Below are 22453 nucleotides of genomic sequence, written 5' to 3'. Positions count from 1 at the left end.
CTCAACCCAACATACCCTTGTATAATCTATGCAAATGGAAACTGAAGAAGTTTGGTCTTGGACTGTACTACTCATACCCTCCTGTGATGGCGGCTCTTAGTAACACTGTGTGTATGGGCAAGGCAGGGGAGAAATGAGAGGAAGAATCGCTCTTGAAAACAAAAAAGGAAAATAAACCTGTCATTAATAGAGAAATGTAACGGCAAGTTCTAGCAATTGTTTTCTAAGATTCTACTAGAGAACTGAATAAATACGCAGCTCTGGTTATTGTAAAAACAAAATTAGATTAAGGCACAGCCTAACTGACTCAATAAAATCATTTTTGTGTACCATTAGTAACAGTACTCTTAGATTTTAAGCCCTTGATGTCATATCATACCTGAAAATACTTCCACAGCCCACTCAGAGTTCCACAACCCCTTTCTTAGGGGTGTAGAGAGTGTACATTAGTCAGCCCAGGCCACACTGGAAATGAAAGGAGTGGATACAGAAGGACTATGGAACATATAAAAGGAAAGTGTTCCAATAAGAACCTCAGCACTTATTACTAGAAGGGGATGAGGAGGTACAGAGGTGCAGGAGGAAGAAGAAAAAAACAAAATGATATGGTAGCACTACCACCTGGGTGATAATGCGGGTACCTCAGAAGGGCTGAGGTACCCGCATTGTGAAAAACTAAACAGGAAAAGGAGGGATAACTCTTCCTTCCACCTAATACCTGAATAATTAAAATGATTCCATATTGGAATGTACATTGAGAATACTGAGACTCAGGTCATAATGAAAGTTTAAAAAAAAAAAAAAAGCAAATGAATTATTTTGAGTCCTGAGGAAGTTATAAGAATACGAATACTGGAAAAAAGAACTGAGATGTAATATCCCAGTAGTTAAGATCATAAACCCTGTATTCAGTCTAACTGGGTTCAAATTCAGGTGTGTCATTTACAAATTGTGTGACCTTGAGCAGGTTCTTAAACCTTTCCAGGGTTCAATTTCCTCCTTAATAAAATGGAGCTAATTCAGGGGGCTGTTTGGAAGATTAAATGAGATACTGCAAAATATAAAAAGCCTTTAACGCTAGTAAGCTATAACACTGTCTCTGATACTCAGATTGCAAAAGCAAAGAAATTATAAAGTCACATTCCTTTCCCCAGCCTTGACTCCAGAGAGCATCTGTGTCTAGAACTAAGGCTCCACAGATCACTCTGCACCCATGTTAACCTACCCTGGCTTGAACCAGCTGATGAAAATGGGATAGAGTCAGCTGTAACAAATGAATTATATATACATATGCTCAACACTTCCCCTCAATCTGTGCACATGGCAGCAACACCGGAGAAAAAAGAGACTTGTAACTTAATAAATTATAAAATTATATCCACTCTGCTCCCTCTTCCTTTAGTGGAATTTGCACACTCCACCACATATGTATTTATACAAGATGTCAGGGGCAGATCAGCAGATGAGACCGAAAAACAATCAAGAAAATATTTCTTCTCAAAGTTTCTTAGTATGACACATAATGTTGCACTTTCCATTTGTCAGTGGATGGTGTATTGATCATTTTTTAAAATTTTATATATTTTATGATGCTTTGATGTCTTGGGGGCCTTGCTGTCTGGGAAGAGACTGCCCCTCCCAGGGCTAATTTAATTCTTAGAGATAGCAAATGACTCCCATGAGCCCATCCTTCATATGTAAACCAACAGTCCAAAAGCCCATATCCCTAACCTCCTCTTTTATCTAACTCAGACTCCAAACCAATATTTCCCCTGCCCTACACCACCCCCCAGAGAAGATACTGGACAACTAGAGACCATTCCCATAACCCAGAGTCTGCCGAAATTATTCAACCTAGCCAATCCTAAACTTGCTCAGATTTGCCTACCCTGCCTCACTCATTCCTTCCCCAGGAAACCACAATACAGGCTCTGGGCCATGATTTCTCCTCTGCTCCTTCTGCCTTCCAACCAACCCAAGCGCTTCCCCACTATGTGGCCCAGAATGGTGTAGTATGCCCCCTTCCCTTGAGAACTATAATAAAACTTCTTTCAATGGCACTGACCTCTTCCCATCATCACTCAGTCACCTCTATAAATTAAATCCTGGGTATAATCAAAACAAGATGGGCCATGGGGCTGGCCACTATATGAACGTAAGAACCTGTTCCTGATAGATTAGAATAGAAATACTATCAATTTTCTGGAATGCCCAGGGGCATATACTGTCTTCAAAAAGCTTTGCCTGGTAATCTCAATCTTAATGCAGCCCAACGAAGTATTTCTGGTTGGCCCCAAGAGCTACAGCAAGTCAAAACCTAGAGAATAATCTGCTATATTTATTTGTTATTTGTTCGTTAATAAGTCAGAGGGCATCTGACTTGGCCCACAGGAATTTCCAGAGACCAGACTGGTTCTGTGGGTGTTTAACCTGGCCTCTAGGGATAAGGGATGACTCTAAGCTAAAGTGATTCAGGCTGTGAAGGCTGGGTCCTTTTGAGGCCAAGAGAAGCCCTGGGTGATCAACAAAATGGCCTGAGTCGGACGGGCACAGTGCAACCACTGCTTTAGACCTAGAGCTCTTGCCTCACACTCACTGGCTAAAGTTGAGCTTTCTCTAAAGTAGTATTTTAAACACTAATTTTAAAGATGTAAATATTTAAATATGCAGAAGATGTATATCTCACCTAACTGTGAAAAAAAACAAACAAACTGTATGCTAGAGCTGATGTCTAAACAAGAGATGTACAGGATGGACAGACCCTCCAGCCAAGAATCTTCAAGGACATCACCACCACAAGGCAGCCCAGCCATCTGGAGAATGTGGGAGATGGGCAGAGATCAGTCAATAAGAGTCCAAACTTCTCAGGTTCAAATATTCATTATAACTCAGGTCTCTGAATATCCTAATATTTAATACCTATATCTATTTCCAATATTTATATATGTGAGTGCAACCTGCCTCAAAGTACAGAATTCATCCTCTAACGAACATAAATGTGTGGTCTTCAAAAGTTTTCAGAACTGTAGATGACTCCCAATAATCCTCATCTCCTAGTAATTTATGCCTCTTGAGTATGCGCTAGATCTGATGGCTTGCTTCTAATGAACAGAACATAGAATAAGTGACAAGATATTACTTCTGAGATTAGGTTACAAAAGACTGTGCTGTTGTCCTGCTCACTCTCTCTCTCCCTGATTCTTCTTGGCTTTTTGGCTCTAACAAAGCAAGCTGCCCCGTTGTGAGCTGTCCTGTGGAGAGGCCCACGTGGCATGGAATGAGGGAGGCCTGTGGCCAGCAGCCAGCAAGGAAGTGAATCCTGCCAACAACCGTACGAGTGGCTTGGAAGCAAATCTTTCTCCAGTCAGCCTTGAGATGACTGCAGCCTGGCTGACACCTTGATTGCAAACTACCACAGAGACCTTGAGCCAGAGTATCCAGCTAAGTCTTGCCTAGATTCATGGCCCACAGAAACCATGAGATAATAAATATTATTTTAAACCACTAAGTTTTGGAACAATTTGTGACAATGAGATATATAATTAATAAACTAATAAAGAGATAATAAAAATTAAAAATGTATGTTAAAAATCTGAAATGTTCTTAAGTTATAATAATTATAAGATATGTACTCTCAGTTCTCTCTCAATCTTTTGAGGTTTCAGCCAATCATATTTCCCTCCATCTTGGGGACACGGTATATTTCAATAAAATACTTGTCACTGGCTAAAATGCCACGAAACACTGACTGACACTTAAATGAATAAAGGGCAATAATGATGATGATAATAAACTATCAGCATTTGTCTTGGATAGGTCAGGAAAAACACTCCAGTAGACTGGTTTAAACACCGCATATTACAAGAGAGTCAGTGGGAAGCATTCTCATTTCTGAAATACTGCACAATTCAAATATGAACTACAAAAGAGGGTTCCCAAAGCCACCTTAGAAGGCTTCATAAAGCAGGATGGTGCTTCATCTCCATCGTTGTATTTGCAGAATAGATTTGTGAAGATTATTTTTTAAATGTAAATACTCAAGTATATTACACAAATGTGGTATTTTTTATTAAGACCCAGTGGCCTTGGGAGCTCATGGCATTATAATATAATTTGCTGTTTTCTACTATATTAAAGAAGCAATATATAATACTGTCAAAATGCCCTGTACCTCAAGGGAATTCACATTCCATCAGTTTTATAGATGTGAAACTTTATAGGTAGAGAACACATGTGAATTACAAGAGCTTATCATGGAAGATAACATTAGATTCTTCAAAGAAGATTTTTTTTGTCTATAATGCATATTTCTGTTCTTCCTACTGTGCTTAGGAAGAATAAATCAAATGAATATAAGTAACTTTCCTTATCTTCCTTTTTATAAAGTATCTGCTATATTCATTTATTATTTGTTCGTTAATTTCTACAGACAATTATTGGCCATCTACTACAGGGTTTGGAAAAATAAGATAATCGGGCATGATCCCTCCTTCCAAGAAACTTACAAAATGTAGAAGAAATAGTGACATAGATGTACGCAGAACACAATTAATGCCTTGAGCGGAGAATGGCTATGTGCATGGCTAGTGTATGAGTGGCTAGTACCATGGCAGTTTAGAGACAAATGCGTTTCTTCTGGCTGAAAAGAGTACAGTTCCGTGGAACAGGCTTAATTAAAGAGGGCTTTGAAAGATTCCCGACAAAAGAACCTGGCCCGTTCCCTGCCCCAGTCAAAACCCCCGGTTACCCCAGTCACACCAGCCTTCAGCTGCACTGAATTTCCTGCATGTCTTTCCTCAAGTCCTGCTTTCCTCAAGTCCTGCTTCTTGAGACCTTTGAATCTACTTGTGGTCCTCCTTCTTCCCCACCGTCTTTTTCTCCAGCCTGGTTAACTCAGTCATCTCTTTGGTTTCAGCTTAAAGCACTTTCTCCAAGTAGATGTGGCTACACTCTTTAGAATGGAAAGGCTGCTTCTTCATGTTTCCCCATCTTCTCCTGGCATGGTGGTGGTCCTTTCCTTATTTCACTACACATTCTCATTTCTTTACCAATACCCCAAGAAGGACTAGCCTATGATCTCTTGAATGTCCAGTAAATGAATATGAAACTCATTTTGAAAGCAGTAATGTGCCACAAAAGGGTTTTATGCAAGAGCACAAAAGGAACCTTTTTTTTTTTTTTTTTTTTTTTTTTAAAGAGACGAGGTCTTATATGTTACCAAGACTGGCCTTGAGCTCTTAGGCTCTAGCGATCTTCCCACCTCACCCTCCTGAGTAGCTGGGACTACAAGCAAGAGCTACCATGCTCAGCTTCAAAGAATCTTGACTATATTCTATGAAAATCATCTGACAGAAATGTGAAGTTCTATTATCAAAAGAATTGATATCATGGTGCAAAAAATTTTTTGGTGAAAATTATACATTAAATGAAAAAGTTTATAAAACAGTATATATAATATAATCCCATTTGCGATGTAAAATACATTTAAAGCTGTGTGTGAGGTGGGGAGATTCCTTGAGGTCAGATTTAAGACCAGTCTGGGCAACACAGAGAGATGCCATCTCTACCCCCAAAAAATGAAAACAAAAATAAATTTTAAGAAACTGTGTATATGTGCATGTGTGTATCAATATGAAAAAGTCTGGAAGGATACACGTCAGAAGATTTAGAATACTTAGTTAACTCTGGGTTGTATGAACATAGATAATTTTTCTTCTTTTCATTTATCTATATTTTCTACTTTTCTCCTATATACCATTACTTTTCGTTTGTTTGTTCTTGAGACAGGGTCTCACTCTGTCAACCAGGCTGGAGTGCAGTGGTGTGATCACAGCGCATTGCAGCCTTGAACTCCTAGGCTCCAGCAATCTGCCCACCTCAGCCTCCCAAGTAGGTGCGACCACAGGTGCAAACTGCCTCCCAAGTAGTTGGGACTACAGGTGCAAACTGCAAAACACGCTGAAAGAATCTATTCCCAAAACTGAACACAATCCTTTTACATGAAGTTCCAGAACAGACAAAACTAAGCTATGGTGATAGAAATCAGAACAATGTCTGCCGCAGTAGGGAGGGCTGACTGGAAAGGGGCAGGACAGAACTTACCAGGGTGACGGACAAAGTTTGTACCTTGATGCGGGGGCAAGTTACAAAGGACTATACATACGTCAAAGTCCACCCAAAATACACGCTTAAAATCAGTGCATTTTTGTGTATGTAAATGAAACCTTGATTACTAAAAGAAAAAAAATTACAGTACAACTCTGACTCTACCAAAAAGTGATTTACTTCTGGTTGTATTAATAATATCAAAACCTTATAAACCATACCTCCTTATTTACCTTCTAGTTAGCTGCAAACATCCCTCACTGATATCTACACCCCCACTCCACATATACCCACTGGAAGGTGAATATGATCATACAACACTGATGGCCTAAAATAACTTTCACAGTCAAGGTCAAATCTTTTACTTCTAAATATTCAATAGTGTTTCTTAGAAATAGTGTTAAACAGCCAAACATTCCTTATTTCATTTTTTATTTAAATAATGAGAAAATGATGCTGAAACTATACGATGTCAGAACACAACATATGTGTGGAACAGCTGTTTGAGAAGATAATACCATTTGCTTCCTAAACTACTTCACAGGAATGTCTTGAAGATTAATGAGACAATGGACCAGATCGTTTTCAGTGGGTGAACTGTTTGCTGTCGGTCATTTGGGTACAACAGATCACCAGAATACCATTACCATTACAGCAAAATAGCAGACTTAAAATTTTATATTCTAATAGTGAAGTTTTAAAATATTCAAAATGGTGTTTTTTGACACATAATTTATACTTGAAATGTACTTTAATTCCTTTAAATAACAGAAAGCTTTTGATTGCTGAGTTAAGCAATAAAGCTCTTCTTTTTAACATTTTAAGAGTTTATCATTATACTAGTTGCCCAGCGATGAAAACATAAAAGATGCAGTCATTGCCCTTAAGAAGCTCACAATTTAGTGAGGAAAACATACAAAAAATAATATAAATGCAATATGAAAATGCTTTTTAAAAAAATCCCTATGCACCTGGTCCTCTGGAAATATCTGGATGGGGCACTCGACCAGAATGGGACGGGGACCTGTGAGGTGGAGGGGTGGGTATCAGAGAAGGCCTGTGGGAAGCAGTGGCACCTGAGCAGACTGCCCCTAGAAGGATGTGGCCTTCAGACAAAGGGAGGGCCTAGGGGCTGTGCAGAGAGTGCTCAGGCTAGACTCTACAGATGCAAAGAAAGGCAGCCAGCTGAGGAGGCACAGGGTCCTCCTAAAGGCCTCCAGTGCCAGGCAGGGCAGGAGATGAAAAAGGAGAGGCCGGTGCAAGCAGACTAGGAAGAGCCTTCTAGCAAGGAATAGAACACATGCATCTGGACTCTGGGAAAGACTTAGACAGATGTGGCAGCCAGCAGTCTGAAGGAAGTAACTGAAGTTATCACCCAAGGAGATCTGCAGCATGCAAACAGCAGAAGACTAAAGACTATTACAGAAATCCTGACAGCAGGTCCCGGTGAAGAAGAAAGAGGCAAAAGAAAGCTGGGCAGGTGTGGTCACGTATGTGAACAGTATGTCACAAAATCCAAAGAGTAAAGAGCAGGAGGGAATAACTCACAGTGGCAAGTCACAGAGACAAGACTACAGTGTTGTTTGGATTTGATAGTTTGTAGGGTGTATTAGACCCTTCTTGCCTTGTTATAAAGGAATACCTGAGACTGAGTAATTTATGAAGAAAAGAGGTTTAATTAACTCACGGTTCTGCAGGATATACAAGCACGGCCCCAGTGTCTACTGGGCTCCTGGGGAGGCCTCAGGGAACTTTTACTCTTGGCGGAAGGCAAAGCGGGAGCACCACATTATGTGGTGAGAGAGGAAGCAAGAGAGTAAGCGGAAGATGCTTCACACCTTCAAACAGACAGATCTCGTGAGAACTCACTGCAGCAAAGACAGCACCAAGGGGATGGCACTAAACCAGGAGAAATCCACTCCCACGATCCAATCACCTCCCATCAGGCCCTACCTCCAACACTGGAGATTACATTTCAGCATGAGATTTAGATGGGACAAATATCCAAACTACATCGTGGGGTCTCGGGTGCCCTCAGCAAGAACAGGTTCTGTGAGATGGTGGAGAACAATGGAGGAAGTGGAGTTCTTGCAGACTACAGCTTTCAGCAAGTCTGGCTGTGAAGGGAAGAGGAGGCAACCACAGTTGGCAAGGGATTCTGGTTGAAGGATGGTTTTGAGAGGGTGACGAAAGGGAGTTTAATGCCATCTGTTTGTATTTCTTTTGCAGTTTTGGTTTTGTTTTGAGAGTTTCCAGTGTTTATACATTAAGACAAAAGAATCATTTATTAATAGAAATGGTGGGAGAACATTTTAAAATCAGGAAATAACTAGTAAAGATACCAAACAGGAGAGAATGATGAAATAGAAAAGTTATTAAGAGGTATCTGTAGGGGTGGAGGTGTCCAGAGGAATGCCTCCTTCACTGAGAAAGAGGAGGAAGCCCTGAAGGTGGGTTTAGATACCAAAGAGTTTGTAGGTGTTGAGAAGGAGGCTAAGAGGATTTCTTTTCTCATTTTGGTACCAACAGAGCTTATTTTTGTTGACCCAGGATGGCGAGGTTGGTTTCTGGTTTCCCAAATACTACTTTAAGGAAAGAAAGCTACACAATTATTCATCTAAAATAAGCATAAAAGTGAGAGTTAAATAGTTAATACATTTCAGATATTTCACTGACTTGTTTATTTGCAATGACATAAGGGTGAGACACCGTGCTTAAAGTGAACTGAATTTTATCAAAATTAGTTCATTTCACCCTTACAGATGACATTTGGTTGTCAGTGACTGATACACAATAAAACCTGGTATATACTAATACAGTATATCAATAAACATTTATTAGAAAAATTAAAAGCTAACTTAAAAACACAATCATTGATTCTTCATAGAACTTTCAGAAACTTTCAGGGAGAGATAAATAATAGCTCTACAAAAAAGTCGCATTTCTTCTGATCATATAAAAGAGGCTGAGGTAACAACTTGTAGAAACTATTATTTGTATTTGTGTTGAACTAATAATGTACAGTATACATGAAAGCTGGTTCCCAAGCTGTGTATGACAGGTGTTCTACTGAAACAGATCACTAACCATATGTGCTCACTGGACTTCAGAGTGCTTACGCTCCTTTCTGCCCTTCCACCTCACCCGCCTGGAAGATGGTGCCTCACAGCTAATAATACAGGCTTTTTTGGCCTCTTGAGAAATACATCATCTACCTACACAAGGGCAGCTGCAAGCCATCACTAATGAGTGAGTATCAAATGAAACACTTTGCTACAGTGATACTGTTCCTAAAGATACTACAGAGTACTACATATACAAATTTTAAATATAAGAATAGATCTAAAAGAAATAAGACAATGAGGAATAAATTCATTATGTATTCCGCAAAACTTATAAAAATAAAATAATTATTTTTAAGTGAATAAGCAAAGTGAATGAGTATTGTATGCTACCATCTGAATACATTTTTAAAGGAGTAGATAGAGTGCTAGATATTCATATAAACACACACACACAAACATACACAAATATATAAAAAATATTTCAAAGTATGTGTTTTTGAAAGTCATTCACGGCCACAGTAATCCTCTGCCCTAGACTGACCATGTCAGAGATATGACAGATTTAAGAGCTGTTAAAATGAGAGGTTTTTCCCTTCCAACGACAAAGAAATCAGGAAACAGAAAAAAGGAAGAGGTTTAGGACCTTTCCCAGCTACGCTATGTCTTCCAGAGCCACTGATGCAGGCCAACCCCTCCCCAGTCCCAGCCTACAAACCACATTGTGCCAACGCCCAAGTCTTTCTGTGGCAAACACAAGGAAAGGAAGAGCCTGTCAGAAGGTGCAGTGGCCATGGAAAGAGGAGCCCAGCAGCTCTGATCCCCACAGGTTCCCAGACCTGTGCTGAAGGAGAATCCTCATTCCCCAGCAGGCAGGCAGGCAGGCAGGCACACGGGCCAGATACCCTTTCTCCCTCTCCGCCCCCATAAGGACAACTCTATGTACATGCCCCAAATACCAAGACAGGCACTTCAGTTAAATATTAGTCACTAAGAAAATGGGGTTTTGGAAATTCACTTTGTAACATGTTTATTCTTTTGTGTGACTGTAGGTTTTGGGGGATTACTTTTCTGATATGTTTGCTTTTACCAAAAAGGAAAACTTACTGTTGATGTGATCGATGTAGTAGACACCAATCTGAGGGTCAAACCCTGCTTCCCATCCCCACGGCAGCTCATCCCCAACACAATCAGCAAATGACAAGGGCTTCGTTAACCTACAACAAACCAGAATTGACACACCAGTGATTCTTTCCGTCAAACCGCATATGTCAAAATTCAGCACCCTAACCACAAGTGTCTAGGTTGCATTTAAAATCTTAAAGAAAAAAAAAAACCAAGGATAAAATACAGATGTATATATCCAAAAAAGTAGGACAAGTCGTAATACCCTTTTGAAAGTTCACTGCTTAATATTTGGAGATAAATCTATACACTAAATAAATAAAGGCATCCTAAATCAGGGAGAACGCCAAGCTGAGAGTGAGGAAGCTTGGGATCTAGCTCTAGCTCTGCAGTGAAACAGATACCCCATTAAAAAGAAAAATGTGTCCCAAGATTCAAATACTGGTATCATGAAAATCCTATCAGTAGCATGGAGACAAGATCCACATCAGGTTACACTAATTTCAGACTGGATGCCCATTTATAAATTAACTAAACATTCAACTGTGAAGGCTACTATAAGTTCTCCTTGAGAGGAAGGACAAATTTTTTTTATAAGTATCTTGTACATAACAGTCACTCAACAAAATTTTTAACTGAACCAAATACACCAAGTATTCATTCATATATCAATGTGATCTCACCTTCTGAAATTGCTTTATACTCTCTCTTAAGACCATTTTTTTCTTTAAGACGCTTTCTCTGTAGGATTTTTCTCTTTAAAACTAATGAAGAAACCACACAGTTTCCTAAGCAGAGTACAGGTTTCAGACTTAATTACAATAGATTTTTTTTTTCTCACTCTCTTGCATTTTGCTTTTGAGATTTTCCTTGGCTACTGGAGCGGCCATGGGCAGGTTAACACCACAGATGCCTTGCTGGAGTGTGGCCACCATCAGTCAACACATTTTCTAATTTAATGCACTAGCACCACTAGCATGGTTCTTACATACAAAATCTCCTGGAATCCCTTTTATCCAAAGATCTCACAGTTCAACTGAAATATAGGTCATTTTCAGAATCACATCATTCATCAGAATAACAAAGTACATCATCCACCCTTCAGAATGCTCAAGAATGATATAAAAAGGAGGAAAATTCTTTTTTTCCAGGCCTGCTCTGCAATAGTCCTCCAAGGACAAAAAACACCAGTAGATGAAAGGAAGGGTCTACTTTTCTTTCAACCTTCCTATAGCACGAAATCTCTCCTTCTGGAGATGGCTCCAAAGAAGACACTGGCCTTCCAAACCAGCTCAGCAGACAGAAGCAATAATGAGGGTAACCTGCTCTACCACTGACTCACTGTGAGACCACTTACTGGGCACCTCTTCCTACTTCAGTTTCCTTCTCTTTGAAGTAGTGAGTATAACCTCACGTACTCTCCCTGCAATTTAACTAGCTCCTAAAATAAACTCAGGATAAAAAGGAATTAACTTGGAAGAGCATCCAGGACATTATAAGTAGTCAATAAATGTCAGTGATTATTAACACAAGCACATGTGAATTCTCTCATTTATCCCTCAGAGGAATCAAGTCAGGCAGCACAGCATAGAACTGTGGTTCTTAGAATATAGTTCCCAGAAACAGCAGCATAAACATCTGGGACCTTGTTACAAATACAAATTCTGGTTGGGCACCGTGGCTCACGCCTGTAATTCCAACACTTTGGGAGGCTGAGGCAGGAGGATGGCTGAGACCAGGAGTTCAAGACCAGCCTGGGCGACACAGTGAGACCCTGTCTCTAAAAAAATAAAAAATTAGCCAGGCATTGTGGCTCATGCCTGTAATCTCCGCACTCTGGGAAGCCAAGATGGGAGCATCACCTGAGCCCAGGAGTTCAAGGCTGCAGTGAGCCATGATCGCACCACTGAATTCCAGCCTGGGCAACAGAGCAAGACCCTGTCTCTAAAAAAAAACTAAAATGATTAAAAAAAAATAATAGAAATAATACAAATTCTTGAGCCCTATTGTAGAATCAGAAACTCTAAGTCCCAGCAATGTATGCTTTCCAGGTAATTCTGCTCCACACTAAAGTGCGGGAACCACCGGCTTAGAAGTTAAGAGCTTGAAATTTGGCATCAAAGAGATCTGGGCTCAAATCTTTATTCTGCCACTTACTCACTATACAACCTAGAGCAAGTTATTAGCCTTAAAAGCCCTAGCTTCCTAATGTATTTTTTAAGGGGGTAGGAGGAAAGATTAAGTTTAGATGAGAACTAAACAGTATAACACCCGAGAAATGGTAAGCTTCAATATATGTTAGATGAGTAAAATGAATCTCAAACATGTTAAGCAATGTGCCCAAATATGGAAACTGGCCATATTTACTTTGTAAACATGGAGTGTATTTGAACTCAATCTGAGTTCAAATGCAAAACATTTTATTCTTAGAATTGTGCTCAAATTCTGTCTTCTATCAAAAACTGCCCTGGAAAATTGATTTTTCTTTTGACAAAGAGTGAGATACCATATCAAAAATTCCTACACCCTAGGACACCTCCTTGTCTACATACATGGTCTCTTTGACTACCTCAATAAAGCAACTAGATAGAGCTCTGGTGCCAGGTCACCCTCTGTATCACTGTTTGATGATTCTCTTTCATTAACTCCATTATCAATGCTGTCTAAAAGGCACATGCATCCTAAAGAAATGAAGAAGGAGAAAACACGAGAACGGTAAGTTTAAGTGCCAAAAGAGAAATATTAGACCAGTATTACCCAGGCACCAATTCAATGTGCTTAAGCGTGAGTATGACAGGAATATATTTATTACTTTAAGAATAGGAAGTTATAAAAGCTTGAGAGCATGTGCTATGATTACAAGTTAATAGTAACTTGATTACATTTGGAAATAATCCAGTTTGTTCCACTAACTGGTTAGCAGATAAGCATTTAATTGTCACTGTTCTAAGACTACAATTACATCTACAGGTATACATGTACTTGTGAACTCTGAAAAATTCAGAAGATTCCATTCTTAAAATTTTTAATATAAAAATTTCTTTGCAGAGTTCCTTCAAATATAAATTTAATACTTTATTTTCTATATATGGATAAATATATATACTTTCTCTGCACTCTATCAATAAGTAAAACCATTACATAGATATTTGTAAATATTAAAGTTTTAGGACTGAATTCTTATGCAAATTATAAAATATAAATAGAACAACATTCTCAGGTTCCAAACAAATTAAGTACCCAATTATGGTGCTATCCTGATAAAAAGAAAATATTACTATGACGTACTAAGAGGTAACACAAAGCAAAAAGAACTAACAGATGTATTCCAAAATTACAAACAATATAAATTAAAACAAATACAGTGAACGGAAATGTTAATTAACTTTTAAATTTCTTCCTCTTGTTGTGCACAAGGAATTTCTTACACATTCAAGCTTTCTTTGATGTTAAGTCAGTAAAAATGGATGGAGTTTGTTTTTGGTTGGTTCCCTGCAAAGGAGCAACAACAAGCAACAACAACAATAACAACAAAATCCTGAAATTAACTAGAGTCTTAATGCTGAATTCCAGAGATTACTCTTTGCTTAAAAAGGTCTTCCTTTGCACCATGCAAAGGAATTTCATATTATGAAGAAAACGGTAATTTACTGCAGCACTTTGCCAACGTTTATATGCAAAATTTAACTCTGTGTGGTATTTCTTCTCCTTGCTGGCATTATATCATTCTTTCACAGTCATTTAATATTTATTGTCAACTCAAATACATGTCCTACGACATGAGATGCCACACAGTGATGTATTTGTTCACTTCACAATTACATGATGGTGAGTACAAGCACAACTCCAAAAAAACCTGAGTTTGTACTAACTGCACTAAATGAATAAGCACTTAAAAAAAACATTTCAGGTTACTAAAACTCTTGCCACAATTCAGAGCCTCCCAAATGTACAGTTTAGCACACACATTAAAAGTCTTAACAGTTATTTTTACTTTGTAGCATCTGCTGTTCTCATTGTTTAGCTAACACAAAGCAGAGCGAATCCTGTCAACTGCTTATGATTACTACAGAATCTGCTCACAGAAACATCACTGAATTGCTCTAAGAGAACAGGGAGGAAGTAAAGATGTGTTTCACAACTTGAATTTTAAAGCAAGGATAAAGCACTAGAAATCTTTCCACAGTCCTAAAAGAATCTTCATTTATAATGATGTCAATTAGTTCCCTCGAAATAACTTTTTTTTTTTTTTTTGAGACTGAGTCTCGCTCTATCACCCAGGCCACAGTGCAGTGGCGCGATCTCGGCTCACTGCAACCTCCACCTCCCTGGTTCAAGCAATTCCCCTGCCTCAGCCTCTCGAGTAGCTGGGATTGCAGGCGCCCGCCACCACGCCTGGCTAATTTTTTTGTATTTTTAGTAGAGACGGGGTTTCACCATGTTGGCCTGACTGGTCTCAAACTCCTGACCTCAGGCAATCCACCTCCCTCAGCCTCCCAAAGTGCTAGGATTACAGGCATGAGCCACTGCGCCTGGCCAACAACTTCTATCTATCACTAGATAGGGAAACTAGCAACACAAAGAAACAAACAAAGGAAAATAGTAGAAAACAGTGGATGGAGGCAACAAGAAAAAAAATGGCTTTCAAGAAAAATTATACAAACCACTTTGGAAGATAATAATGAGATTCCTTCCCTGTGTGTGAGGAAATTAGCTTAAATGATTGGAAGGAAGTCATATTAGAGGGGCAGGCACGGTGGTTCATGCCTGTAATCTCAGCACTTTGGGAGGCCAAGGTGGACGGATCACCTGAGGTCAGGAGTTCGAGACCAGCCTGGCCAACTTGGTGAAACCCCCGTCTCTACTAAAAATACAAAAATTAGCCAGGCGTGGTGGCACATGCCTATAATCCCAGCTACTCAGGAGGCTTAGGCAGGAGAATCGCTTGAACCCGGGAGGTGGAGGTTGCAGTGAGTGAAGATCGGGCCATTGCACTCCAGCCTGGGGACAAGAGCGAGACTTCGTCTCAAAAAAAAAAAAAAAAAAAGAAAGGAGCAAGAGAGAGAGAGAGATCATATTAGATAGAGAGAGAGAGATCATATTAGATAGAATTTCTAGAAAACAAACATTAGATATCAGAATAGGTCACAATGGGCCACGTGCAGTGGCTAATACCTGTAATCCCAGCATTTTGGGATGCTGAGACAGGCAGATCACTTAAGGTCAGGAGTTCAAGACCAGCTTGGTCAACATGGTGAAAATCCATCGCTACTAAAATTACAAAAATTAGCCAGGTGTGGTGGTGGGCATCTGTAATCCCAGCTACTCGGGAGGCTGAGGCAGGAAAACTCTTGAACCTGGGAGGTGGAGGTTGTAGTGAGCCAAGATTGTGCCACTGCACTCCAGCCTGGGCGACACAGCGAGACTCTGTCTCAAAAACAAAACAAAAGAACACGTCACAATGGGGAGAATCATCTCTTCCTAAGATCATTTTTACCTAAAGACAAAAAAATAGACTTGGCAACATCTGGAGGCTCCAATCTAGCCTCACTCCCCCGTTCTTCCTGCCATGAGCCCTTTTGGGTGTCTGGCAACTTATATTACTGTTTACTAGAACAGTTACTCAATATTTTGAAAATCATTTTGTGACATACTAATTTTTTCAGAAAGGAAAGAAACTAATTTTATTAGTTGTCTATTATGTTCCAAGAATTATGCAAGGTTGTTTCATATGTTATCTCATTTAGCCCTAATAACAACCCTTCAAAATGGGTATTTCTGGTCTCTTTTTTTTTTATTTTTATGTATTTATTTATTGAGACGGAGTTTCACTCTTGTTGCCCAGGCTGGAGTGCAATGGCACGATCTTGGCTCACTGCAACCTCTGCCTCCCAGGTTCAAGTGATTCTCCTGCCTCAGCCTCCCAAGTAGCTAGGATTACAGGTATGCGCTACCACGCCCAGCTAATTTTTTTGTATTTTTAGTAGAGATGGGGTTTCTCCGTGTTGGTCAGGCTGGTCTCGAACTCCTGACCTCAGGTGATCTACCCACCTTGGCCTCCCAAAGTGCTGGGATTACAGGTGTGAGCCACCGCACCATGCCTATTATTATTATTATTATTATTATTATTATTATTTTGAGACGGAGTCTCGTTCTGTCGCCCAGGCTAGAGTGCAGTGACACAATCTCGGCTCATTGCAACCTCCGCCTCCCAGGTTCAAGCGATTCTCCTGCTCAGCCTCCTGTGTAGCTGGGACTACAGGTGCGTGCCACCATGCCCAGCTAATTTTTGTATTTTTAGTAGAGACAGGGTTTCACCATGTTGGCCAGGCGGGTCTCAAACTCCTGACCTCAGGTAATCCACCCGCCTCGGCCTCCCAAAGTGCTGAGATTACAGACGTGAGCCACTGCGCCCAGCCCCTATTCCCGTTTTTTACAGATTTAATTCTGTATGTGACACATCCAGAATTTTGTGTTTTATGTGAAACGTAAAACGTGTCACAAAATCCTGTGTTTTAGATCCTGTCTGTGTGCAGTGGGGGGATATAACAAGGAAAGGATTTGGTGCTTGCCCTGGGGAGCCAAGGTGAGGACAGCCAAGCAGATAACTAATTTGTCACCCTAGGACTTGGCCAGGAAAGCCCCTAGCCTGGTGCAATGGGTTAGGAAGGAGACTGCTGCTCCAAGATTTAAATGATTCACCCAGTGCTACAGAGCTGGCAGGAAACATAACGAGGTAGCCTAACCAAGATCACTTCTTCAGATTAGTTCATGTTATGTCTGCACCTGCTTGGGTCCTCAGACAATTCTCCCCTCTGTTGGTCCTAGGTCTGGTCCTCCTACAGCTGGCATGAGTTTTGTCACCTGGTACCAACGAGAATTAGTTTGATACCTCCTCCACATGACAGACTTTCAAATATCTGAACACAACTGTGTTGTCTCCCAGGTCTGCTCCCTGAGACCCACACACCCCACTCCTCTCTACATGTCTCGCATCCCCTCCTCCAGGCTAGCCTGCCAGTCTCCTGCCCTTACCCCAGCCGCTCCTCTCTACTCTGCAGTCTCATTCCATCTCTCATTATCTGATATTTATCTCTTCTCATATGGTTAATTTTTTCTCCTTCAGTCTATATTCAATGCCCCCTACCCTAAAAAACCTTTCCTCAAACCTTCTGATTCTTCTTTTGACATTCACTTACTAACCATTCCTAACCATTCCCTCATCCTAACCTAGAGGCTGTAAACAGGAGGACTTTAGGAGGCCCTATCATAGAATTTCCCTTCTGCCATCTAACACTTAATCCTACAGTTACTTCACGAATACACTCTTGAAAGACAGTATTTGTGGGTGATTTGCCTTTGAAAAAGCACATGGCTCATGCTGTTGGGTTTTGGGATCCAGATATAGTATCTGCAAAAGCTTCAATGCTTACAATATTCTATGTTAGGCCAGGCACAGTGGATTACGCCTATAATCCCAGCACTTTGGGAGGCTGAGGCGGGAGGATCACAAGGTCAGGAGATCGAGACCATCCTGTGAATGGTGAAACCCTGTCTCTACTAAAAATACAAAAAATTAGCTGGGAGTGGTGGGGGGCGCTCGTAGTCCCAGCTACTCGGGAGACTGAGGTGGGAGAATGGCGTGAACCCGGGAGATGGAGCTTGCAGTGAGCCGAGGTTGCGCCATTGCACTCCAGCCTGGGTGACAGAGTGAGACTCCGTCACCAAAAAAAAAAAAAAAAAAATCTATGTTAAAGGTCAAATTTTACATACAGCAATTATATTAATAATATAAAACACTTACTGAATGTTTATCATGTACCACACATGCTCTAATATACATAAATGTACATACATAAAACTCTGCAAAGTAGGTATACTTTTTCCATTTGAATAGCCTGGGCAGAGAAAAAAATAAACACTCCTCTCCAAATAAGCATGTGTTAGGGTCACACACACACATCTCTCCAGTCAACATTTGTACATAGGGCAGTAGTGGTTGCAAGCTCTGCCGCATAGCCCTTCACACTAAAAACCTTCACAATGTTGGCTCTGAAGAAGTAAAAAATAAAGTCTAGTTACGAATAAAAGGAAACATAGCTCATGAAAAGCAGGGCCAAAAAATTGAAAAATTACAAATAACAGGAAAAATATACATCATGGGTATGTGCCTCTTAAATTACTTCAGTATTTGGCCAAAGATCAAAAGTCGCTTTTGAAAAATACTTTCCTCTTTTTTACGTGATTTGTAAACCAAATAGCAATTTCTAGGCAAAACTGTATGCTTTATGCTTTCTTAAATAGGAGGTTATAACATGATTCCAAGTTAATTGTTCATATTGTCTGACTACTTAAGCTAAAAAAAAGTTGGTGCTAATGAGACCAACATTGTGGATTTCACCTCCCACAAGAGCTGTTTATCACAGAATCAATCTGAGAATGTTGGTTTACAGTAGCGGTTCTGAAACCTATGCGTGCATCTGATCTGACTCAACTGAAAGGCTTATGAAAGCACAGACTGTTGGGGTCACCCTCAAAGTTTCCGACTCAGTAGATTTGGGAAGGACCTGAGGATTTACATCTCTAAGTTCTGAGGTAATACTGATCGGTAAACTTCAGGGACCAGAAGTTCACCTTGAGTGCTATTGTTTAAAAGACGTAAATTAGATTGGATCCCTAATCCAACCAGGTGATGGAGAAGTGGAAAACAAGCTCAAGTTAAAAATAAACCTGAAGGCTTTACAAGTATCTCTGTTATGAAAACGATGAAATATTTAAACAGATAATGGCTTAACAGTCCTCCTATTTGGAATAGTAGACACTTCATTTAATTTTAAGTAAACATTTCCTTTCTTCAAAGGATACTTAACTAATTTGAAAATAACTTCAAGAGCAAGGCTTTCTTTATCCTTCATTTTCTAACTTATATAAAAATAGTAACAGTACTCAACATCATTAGTTATTATGGAAATGCAAATCAAAACCACAGTGAAGCACCAGTTCACACCCACTATGATGGCTATCATTAAAAAACACATACACAAAAGACACGAGTATTGACAAGGATGTGGAGCAATGGGAACTCTGTACATTGTGGGTGGCAACGTAAAATGGTGCAGCCTCTGTAGAAAATGGTTTAGCAATTCCTCAGAAAGTTAAAATGGAATTACCGTATGATCCCACAATACTACTTCTAGGTCTACTTCTAAAGGAAGTGAAAATAGGTACTCGAATAAGTACATGTGTGTGCATGATCATAGCAGCATTATTCATAATAGCCAAAAGGTGGAAAGAGCCCAAATTCCCATAGACAGGTGAATGGATAAAAAAATTGTGGTATATACATGAAATGGAATATTATTCAGCCATAAAAAAGAATGAAGTACTTATACATGCTACAATATGGATGAACCTCCAAAACATTATGCTAAGTGAAAGAAGCCAGGCACAAAATGTCACATATGGTACGATTCCACTATATGAAATAGCTAGTTCACAAACGCATAAAAAAGGAAAGTAGGTTGATGGTTGCCAGGGGACAAGGAAAGGGGTAAATAGAAACTGCTCAGTGGGTACCTTGGAGGAGGATGACAATGTTCTGAAACTAAATATAGGGGTTGGTTGCACAACATTGTGAATGTACTCAATGCCACTGAATTGATCATTTTAAATGGTTAATTTACATTAGGTGAATTTCACTTCAGTAAGTTGGTTTTCAAAAGGAGTAGCAAGTAAACAACAATGCCAAGACTTAAAGTGAATAAAATATTTTCACAAAAGATAGTAAAAACATGGGAAAATGTTAAACATCACTAATAATAAAAAGAAACGCCAAATACAATAAAATAATGAGGCTAAAATTTAAGCCTATCAAAATATCAAGTTTTTGCCTTTTTTCTTTTTTTTTTGAGACAGGGTCTCACTCTGACATCCAGGCTGGAGTGCAGCGGGACGATCACGGCTCAGCTCACTACAGCCTCAACCTCCCGGGCTGAAGCCATTCTAACACCTCAGCCTCCCAAGGAGCTAGAACTGCAGGTACACACCAACACGCTTGGCTAAATGTCTTTTTTCCGTTGTAGACATGAGGTCTGATGCCCAGGATGGTCTCAAACTCCTGAGCTCAAGTGATCCGCCCTCGCTGGCCTCCCAAAGTGTGGAGATTACAGGCATGAGTCACTGCTTCCGGCTGTTTTGCTTTGTCTTAGTGATGAAACTCACTCTGGTGAGGATGTGGGGCATCAGCTACTTTCATTCATTGCTGGTGACTTTGTAACTCGATACAGTCCTTTTAAGAAACAATTTGGCAGTGTTAAAAAAAACCATTAAAATGTTGATTCCAGGTGGGGGAAGGGAGACTGTTAGGGAAAAACAGCTAATGCATGCTGTGCTTAATACCTAGGTGATAGGTGATGGGTGATAGGTGCGGCAAGACATCATGGCACACGTTTACCTATGCAACAAACCTGCGCATTACTGCACACGTACCCCAGAACTTAAAATAAAAATATTTAAATTTTTAAAAATGTTAATTCCTTTTAACCTAGAAATACTATTCTTGATTGTGTTGCATGAATCTTGTCCCACCTCCACAGGGATCAGCTGCCACCTAAGGCATGTTACTACACTCAGACTCAGTCTCTAGGCAGGGACCCTGCCTTCTTCTCGCTCTCTAGCACAATGCCTAATGCCTACCTCATACACAGTCGACACATAATAAATGTTGACTGAATGGAAGAAGAGTAGGAAGGAAGGCAGAAAGAAAACGTCAACTACATCATGAAAGGGTTGTAATTTATTCTTTCAAAAATTTTCTATTTATACAGAAGTAATAGTATATGCATTTATTCAAATAACAACATGAAGGCTGGTATTAAGGTGTTAGTTGATACATATGTTTCCTGACTATGGAACAAGATACAAGAAAATCTTTCAATACTGCATCAAAATATTTGGTCTTGTGATTTATTTTTGCTATTATTACATTCTGTATCATAATGAATATCTTAACAGAAAACAGATTTAAGTGACAGACATAACAGAATTTATCTCAAGTATTTCAATAATTCAGCAGGTTTTTAAAGTATTTTTATGCCACGGAAGAAAACAAAGTGGTCAAACACTTTAACCTGAACCTCTTTTTCTCTCCTAAGTGCCAAGAAATGTTTGCTTGTCAGATTATTTGGTTTTGAAAAATAGTCTGAAATTTTAAGTGGCTATGCCAGCAAAGAAGGTATGAGTGTTTGAGAGAGGTAGAGAACTTAAAAAGGATTATTGTCCAAACAAATAACAGAAATCCACCAAGGCTGCCTCAATTCCCAACCTGTAGTTCAACACACAGCCAGTCAATTTCATGGTGGATAATAATTGCTCATGGACGAAGACTAGAAGAGGCTTCAGTATTCAGTCTGGAGAATTGAGCTCCAGTCAGGACAACAAAGAAATGACACATGGCACACCTTTCTGAAGGGCCACAACTTCCCTTTTGAAGAAGTTAAATGATTAAAATACACCTGTATTACTTTTATCAAAACTTAAGAAACTGAGAGGACTTTAAAAAATCTCTATAACCTCACTACATAGGAATAATCCCAGTTAACAATGTGATGTGTTTCACTCTAGGCTATGTTTTTTAAATAAATATATACATATGTAGATATAATATTATGTACAAAATATACATCATATTTTGGTATCAAACTAAATAAACTCTATGTATACTGTAGTTTTCAATGTTGACTTAAAAATATACATTTTATAAAACAGTTAATAGATTCTCATTATGAAGAATACAGAAAATAACAGGATGAACTGTTATTAAAGTCCTTGCTTCACTTTCCTGTAGAGTGACATCTACTCCAATACTTTGGTATTTTTTCAGTCCATGTATAAACTTATGTACAGTTGACTTCTGAACAATGCAGGGGTTAGAGGTGCTAACTCCTTGCACAGATGAAAATTCTCTTATAACTTTTGACTCTCCCAAAACTTAATTACTAACTGCCTACTGTTGACCGGAAGCCTCACCAATACATAAACAGTCAAGTAACGTATTTTGTACACTGTATTATATACTGTATCCTTACAATAAACTAAGCTGGAGAAAAGAAAAAGTCATTAAGAAAACCATAAAGAAAAAGAAATACATTTACAGTACCGTA

The 22453-nt window shown here is 39.4% G+C and overlaps 1 protein-coding gene across 5 annotated transcripts in view, besides 2 other annotated features; it reads right to left on the bottom strand.

Moving 5' to 3' along the window:
- Positions 1–22453, bottom strand: part of WWC2 (WW and C2 domain containing 2) — a 221521-nt gene that overhangs the window by 116795 nt on the left and 82273 nt on the right. For 3 of the 5 annotated variants that reach the window (NM_001410864.1, NM_024949.6, XM_047416199.1), the window contains exon 2: positions 10275–10384. The exons of the other annotated variants lie outside the window; for them this stretch is intronic. In NM_001410864.1, coding sequence (NP_001397793.1) covers positions 10275–10384 — 110 coding nt within the window. The remainder of the gene's footprint in view (positions 1–10274; positions 10385–22453) is intronic. 5 annotated transcript variants of the gene reach the window in all.
- Positions 19763–20557: an enhancer, noted in NCBI's record as "OCT4-NANOG-H3K27ac-H3K4me1 hESC enhancer chr4:184104579-184105373 (GRCh37/hg19 assembly coordinates)". NCBI's record gives its function as "activates a minimal SCP1, AML or CMV promoter by ChIP-STARR-seq in naive and primed H9 embryonic stem cells {active_cell/tissue: H9 hESC(naive and primed)}" and the evidence as "EXISTENCE:reporter gene assay evidence [ECO:0000049][PMID:30033119]".
- Positions 20558–21352: an enhancer, noted in NCBI's record as "OCT4-NANOG-H3K27ac-H3K4me1 hESC enhancer chr4:184103784-184104578 (GRCh37/hg19 assembly coordinates)". NCBI's record gives its function as "activates a minimal SCP1, AML or CMV promoter by ChIP-STARR-seq in naive and primed H9 embryonic stem cells {active_cell/tissue: H9 hESC(naive and primed)}" and the evidence as "EXISTENCE:reporter gene assay evidence [ECO:0000049][PMID:30033119]".

Source organism: Homo sapiens, chromosome 4 (assembly GCF_000001405.40).
Source record: "Homo sapiens chromosome 4, GRCh38.p14 Primary Assembly".
In the NCBI taxonomy this organism is placed as follows: domain Eukaryota; kingdom Metazoa; phylum Chordata; class Mammalia; order Primates; family Hominidae; genus Homo; species Homo sapiens.
Note: the sequence above shows the minus strand (reverse complement) of the source record. Positions and strands in the feature narration are given on the sequence as shown.